At 33.7% G+C, this 7,209-nt stretch overlaps 1 annotated feature.

Moving 5' to 3' along the window:
- Positions 5,848–6,358: an enhancer, noted in NCBI's record as "NANOG hESC enhancer chr18:51595986-51596496 (GRCh37/hg19 assembly coordinates)". NCBI's record gives its function as "activates a minimal SCP1, AML or CMV promoter by ChIP-STARR-seq in naive H9 embryonic stem cells {active_cell/tissue: H9 hESC(naive)}" and the evidence as "EXISTENCE:reporter gene assay evidence [ECO:0000049][PMID:30033119]".

Genomic DNA, 7,209 nt, shown 5'->3' on the forward strand with positions numbered 1-7,209 from the left:
ATTGCTTGAACCTGGGAGGCAGAGGTTGCAGTAAGCCGAGATCACGCCACTGCACTCCAGCCTGGGTGACAGAGACTCCTTCTCAAAAAAAAAAAAAAAAAAAAAAAAAAATATATATATATATATATATATATATATATGTTTTGAAGTTTATAGAAAAAAATAGATATACTAAGTTTAAAAATGAGAAATTTCAGGATAGACACAGAAACACTAAATGTGCATGAAATGAAATCCTAAAACTAATATATATATATATATATATATGATAGAATTAAGAGAAATTTACACACTGCAAGAGAAATGTTCAGTGAACCTGATAAGGAGACAATAGAAATTATCAAAACTAAAACATAAAGAGAAAAAGAGATTGGAGAAAATATGAACAGAGCTTCAGTGGTCTGTGGAACAAAACACACATATATATCATATATGTCATATATATATGTTATATATGTCATATATATAACATATATATAAAATATAGTCCCAGAAAGAGAGGAGAAGGAGAATGAAATAGAAAATAAAAATTTAAAGGAATGTGGATTTAACTGTTTCCAACTTTTATTAAAAATACAAACTCACATGTATAATAAACTCAGTAAAACCCAAGGAGAGTAAATACACACACGCATAAATCACACCTAGAAATAGCATAGTGAAACTGTTTGAAATAAAAATAAAGATAAAATCCTAAAAGAAGTCAGAAAGAAATCACATATATACAGAATAATAATAATATAAATCACAAACAACTTCTCACCAAAAATAATAGAAGCTAGAAGGCAATTGTACAATATTTTTAATGTGATGAAAGAAAATAAACTATCAACCTAGAACTCCATATTTAACAAAAATATCCTTCAAAACTGAAGGTGAAATAAAGGCATTTTCAGTTCAATTGAAAGCAAAGAGAATTAATTGCCAGCAAATGTGCACTATGAGAAGTGAAAAAAAAAGTTATCCAAGACAAAGTAAAATAATACCATACAGAAATTCAAATATACAGGATAGAATATTTCAAGGGGACTAAAATTATAATAACATTAGTTAAATATATTTTCTTAATTTCTTTCAGAGACAAAGAGCTTTTAAAGCAAATGAAACAGCATTGTAAGATGAGGTTTGTAATATATGAACAAATAGGATATGACAATCACAAAGTTCAAGAGAGGAGTTAATTGATTATTGTCTCATAAATTTCTTATATAATTGGTATAATATCTATTCAAGGTAAACTATAAGTTAAAGACACCTATTGTAATCTGTAGAGTAATCACCAAAGCATAATACAAACAGATACATAGCCAAAAAGTTAAGAGAGGGATTAAAATGAAATACTAAAAAAGACTCAACCCAAAACAAAGAACAAAGAACACATAGACCAAATAGAATACGAGACAAATTCAAATATATCAATAAGTGTATTAAATATAAATGCACTGAACACTCCGCTAGACACTGCAATTAAAAAGTGATATTATATTGGATTTTTATAAAATAACACTTAACTATATGCTGTTTACAAAAGATGTACTTTAAATGTAAAGAAATGGACAGGTTTAAAGTAAAATAATGAAAAAACACACCATGTAAACACTAAGCATAAGAAATCTGTTGTAAAAGCCAAAATTGACAAATGGGATCTAATTAAACTCAAGAGCTTCTGCACAGCAAGAGAAACTACCATCAGAGTGAACAGGCAACCTACAAAATGGGAGAAAATTTTCACAACCTACTCATCTGACAAAGGGCTAATATCCAGAATCTACAATGAACTCAAACAAATTTACAAGAAAAAAACAAACAACCCCATCAAAAAGTGGGTGAAGGACATGAAAAGACACTTCTCAAAAGAAGACATTTATGCAGCCAAAAAACACATGAAAAAATGCTCACCATCACTGGCCATCATAGAAATGCAAATCAAAACCACAATGAGATACCATCTCACACCAGTTAGAATGGCAATCATTAAAAAGTCAGGAAACAACAGGTGCTGGAGAGGATGTGGAGAAATAGGAACACTTTGACACTGTTGGTGGGACTGTAAACTAGTTCAACCATTGTGGAAGTCAGTGTGGTGATTCCTCAGGGATCTAGAACTAGAAATACCATTTGACCCAGCCATCCCATTACTGGGGATATACCCAAAGGACTATAAATCATGCTGCTATAAAGACACATGCACATGTATGTTTATTGAGGCACTATTCACAATAGCAAAGACTTGGAACCAACCCAAATGTCCAACAATGATAGACTGGATTAAGAAAATGTGGCACATATACACCATGGAATTCTATGCAGCCATAAAAAATGATGAGTTCATGTCCTTTGTAGGGACATGGATGAAATTGGAAATCATCATTCTCAGTAAACTATCGCAAGAACAAAAACCAAACACCACATATTCTCACTCATAGGTGGGAATTGAACAATGAGAACACATGGACACAGGAAGGGGAACATCACACTCTGGGGACTGTTGTGGGGTGGGAGGAGTGGGGAGGGATAGCTTTAGGAGATATACCTAATGCTAAATGACGAGTTAATGGGTGCAGCACACCAGCATGGCACATGTATACATATGTAACTAACCTGCACATTGTGCACATGTACCCTAAAACTTAAAATATAATAATAATAAAATAAAATAAAATAAAGAAATAGAAAAAAAAAGAAATCTGTTGTGACTCCGTTAAGATTAAACGAAGTGAACTTCATGGTAAGGAGTATTAACAGAGATTTAAGAGGAAGACATCATTCCAAAATGTATATGTATCATACAACAGAGTTTCAAATGACACTAAGCAAAATTTAACAAAACTAAAAGTGGGAAATACATGAATCCATTTACATAGATGATTACTTAATTAGCCTACTAAAAGCTTAACTATCTATATGCTTACTGATAAGGTTGGCCACCTTCTATGAGGTTCTGATGCCAAAGTTTCCATAGCTCCTTACCATGTAAGTAAAATACTACAGCATTTAAAGTAGAGAGAGAATATGAAAATAGAACTAAAGTATATATCCTACTAATTGCTTGGGCAGAGGTGATACCTTTCTCTGTAAAAAGTCTCTATCTCATACAGATACAACCTCTAAGAGCTTAAACATCTTAAAAATCAAGTTTAATGAAATACCTCCAGTTTTTTTTAGTTCTTAGGATAAACCGATGTCATTTTTTAGCAATTCTTAAATATACAAGCATCATAACTATTTGAATCAGAGTCTACATAAAACATCTTTTAAATCAGCCTTTTTTCCCCTCCTTTCCAGAATCTAACACACAATTACCACTGTTTTATACTAGCATATTATATCTTGTTTTTAATTTGGAATAACGTATCTTTCAACCCTATTTACTTTATCTAATTTGTTAAGAACATCAGTATCATCAAACTAATTATGAGAGGCAAATGGCTTAACATAAAATTAATGTTCCTAAGCCCCCCCAAGTTAGTTATTATTTAAAGTCACCAATTCTTTTTCTTCATGTGTAATTACTTTTAGATGTATTAACGGAGATGATTAACAATAAGTAAAAGAATAAATTTATGAAATTGATTCATGTGTTCTACTTTTCAGTATCATTAAATATTTCTGAGTCTCTCCAAAGCTGAAAGGACCATTATGCAGACAATGTTCTGACAGATAGCAACCAAGACATCCCAAGGCGAAACTGTCTTCAGACTCATCTTTCTAACCTTTTTTTCCCATTTTTGACACTCCTGCTACACTCATTCTTTCCCTCAAAATCCCAAGTTCCTCCACAGTCATTGTTGTTTAATGAAGTACATGTCAGCCAGAGAAGAGAAAAAGCAATATTCTGTAGGCTGAGTTCTGGTGGTACAGAGAGCATCAGTTTTCCATTCCGGGTAGAGGATCTAGAGAATGGCTGCACTTCCTGATCAAAATTTTCCCTTTATAAAGAGTTTGTACCTAGCACATTCCAACACATCCACAGAGAGGTAAAGTCCAGTTCCTCAACTCTGTGTCAGCTATTTGACTATGACAGGTTCTTCAACCCATCATTTGTAAAATGGTAATATCTGAGCTAATTCACCCGTGCTTGATTGAAGCTAACAAGAGTTAACTGCTTACTCAAGAGGAAAAGATCATAGAATGTAAAAATTGTATTACATGGCAAAAGAAATTATTATAAAATTCTATTACATGAAAAGTTTAAGGTCATAGTAATATAACTCAGATTTATGCCACTCAGTAACCATTAAGATAATTTTCTGTGCCTTCTCTTTGTTCAGTTTTGATGTTGTGGAAGAAGTATAAACTGCAGAGTCAGCCAGACCTGGGTTTGAAGCCCAATTCTGACAAACCTACATTGTCATATTATAAAACAAGAATAATAATCCCAAACTTCCAAAGTTGTTCCAAGGATGACATAAAGTTATACATGTGAAGTGTCTAACTAATGGTCTGGTTTATAGTAGGTTCTTAATAAATAATCATTTCCAATATTCTTTTCATTTATTTAGCTTCACCAACTATAATGTAGGTTAAAAACAATAATTATATATTGGTCTTCTTAGTCATCTTTAAATATCTCAGTCTTAGCCTTCTTTAAATACTCCCTTAGAACCTGTAAAGTTGCCAAGACCACAATTAGCATGAAATAAATTCCAGGGGAGAAATAAATGGAAAAGGAGAGACAACAAAGACATTGATCTAGAAAACTAATTTGCTTTAAGGTAATGGTCATTAGAAGATGAAGGCCTGAGAACAAAAGCTGGGGCAAGAAGAAGGGGGAAAGTCCAGAAGACTTATTTTTGGTTCTAATTTTTTTTAATAGAACTGAAAAATTCAATTTCTTGGCTTTTTATTGTTATTGATACAGACATTTAACATCTTTATCATGGCCTGATACTTTATTTACATAAAATATAACTCATTTTTTGTTTCAAACAAAACAGTCCTGGGTAAACACCAAGGAAAATATTCCCTATGCTCTCCCTAAATCAATTCCTTATTTCCATTACCTGAGGCAGAGTTCTGAGTCGGCTAAAACTGGGACTGACCCAAGGTGACATTTCTCACTTTGTCAAGGTAAAAGTCTCATTAGGAAGCAGATGCATCAGCATATTGAACCTCCAGTTAGCCATTAGCAGCATTATGAAGTGCTCTGACTAGCATTCAGAAAAATTATATACTTTTCAAATGATAGATCACATAAACCGAGCCATTATCCCACCTTGCCAAAACAACTCACTAAAAATGAAGAAATCGACCAAATTGGTAATTTGGTGTAATTAAGGGCATACTCCTTCTACCCTCCAACGTCCAAAATAAATAATCACTTAACTGAATTCAACCACCTTTTAATGAATTAATTGGATGCACTAATTTTGCATTTAGAATCACTCTTGGTAAACTTATCTGGGAACTTCAAGGAAAGAAATAGAAAATCCATAAATTCCTTGGAAAACATGTCAAGTTCTTGTGTTTCTAGTCTACATTAATCCCCCATAAAGTGATTGAATGTATTGAAGAAGCTATCAGAATAATATGTTTCCTAAAAATTATCATTTTCATGACTGTGGATATTTCAAGTGAATGATTTTTAAGCTTAAATTATCCTGATAATTGCCTCAAAGACACATTTTGCTTTTCAAAAAGATACAGAAGTTCATCCTAGCATGTAGCTTAAATTCAATCTATTGATATTTGCCTGTTTTTTCTTCTCTTTAGAAAACTAAAGAAATGCTATTTTCTAACATATTTAGCTGGAGATATAACTTTGTATATGATCTAAGATTTCCAAGAAACTAGCCAATCAATTAAATTTCTTGTTACTTGTAACACATGGAGTATTTATTTAGGTAGAATTCTTCAGATCCTAAAATCAATGATTTTTTTCCTAGAATTATTTAACCAGGAATGTCCATATGTCCATGCTAGCTACCATGGTCTGATTTCTATAGTATTTAAAAAAAAAAAAAAAAAAAAAAAAAAAACCATGCTGGGGTTTCAGTATTTTTGTTCCCTCCAAAGTTTTAATGGGTTTTCAAAGGAAAAGAAAATCCTCTTCCCTTTTTGGGTCCTTTCCTGATCCAGGAGAGATTAACTAACAGTCTTTTAGGGTCTGATCAGAGACATTTACCATCTGTTTTTCTTTGAAGCCTGCTACCTGGAGGCTTCATCTACATAACAAAAACCTAGGCCTAGGCTTCCACAACCACCCTTATCTTAACTAGATTTTTTTTCCGCTGACTTCAACTCTTCAGGCAGAGTTTAGCCCTTTCAAAAAATTTTCAATCAGGAAATCTTTAAATCCACCTATGACCTGAAAGTTATCTCCAACCCTCACCCCCCTCCACCCCTCCCACCCTAACCCACACGCAGCTACCTGGCTTCAAGATGTCCCGTTTTCCAGGCTGAACCAATGTACACCTAACATCTATTGATTTATGTCTCTGCCTGTAACTTCTTTTCCCCTAAAATGTATAAAATCAAGCTGTAACCAGACCACCTTGGGCACACTTTTCAGGATGTCTTGGGGCTATGTCATGGGTAATGGCGCTCACATTTGGCTCAGAATAAACCTCTTCAAGTATTTTACATAGTTTGACTCTTTTTTGTCCACAGTAATGAGGATTCCACTCTTATAAATTGATTAATGTATTTATTAAAAGGGCTGGCAGATGTGGGTTTGTCAGAGGCATTTGAACCAGAGCAACTCCATCTTAAATAGGAGCTGGGTAAAATGAGGCTGAGATCTGCTGGGCTGCATTCCCAGATGGTTAAAGACATTGTAAGCTACAGGATGAAATAGAAAGTCAGAACAAGATACAGGTCATAAAGACCTTTCTGGTAAAACAGGCTGTAGTAAAAAAACTGGCCAAAACCCACCAAAACCAAGATGGTGGTGATGAGAGTGACCTCTCTCGTCCTCACTGCTACACTCCCACCAGCGCCATGACAGTTTACAAATGCCATGGCAACATCAGGAAGTTACATAATATGGTCTAAAAGGAGGAGGAGGCATGAATAATCTACCCCTTGTTTAGCATATCATCAAGAAACAACCATAAAAATGGGCAAACAGCAGCCCTCAGGGCTGCTCTGTCTATGGAGTAGCCATTCTTTTGTTCCTTTACTTTCTTAATAAATTTGCTTTCACCTCACTCTACAGACTTCCCCTGAATTCTTTCTTGTGCAAGATTGAAGAACCCTCTCTTGGGGTAT

Source organism: Homo sapiens, chromosome 18, assembly GCF_000001405.40.
Source record: "Homo sapiens chromosome 18, GRCh38.p14 Primary Assembly".
Lineage (NCBI taxonomy): Eukaryota > Metazoa > Chordata > Mammalia > Primates > Hominidae > Homo > Homo sapiens.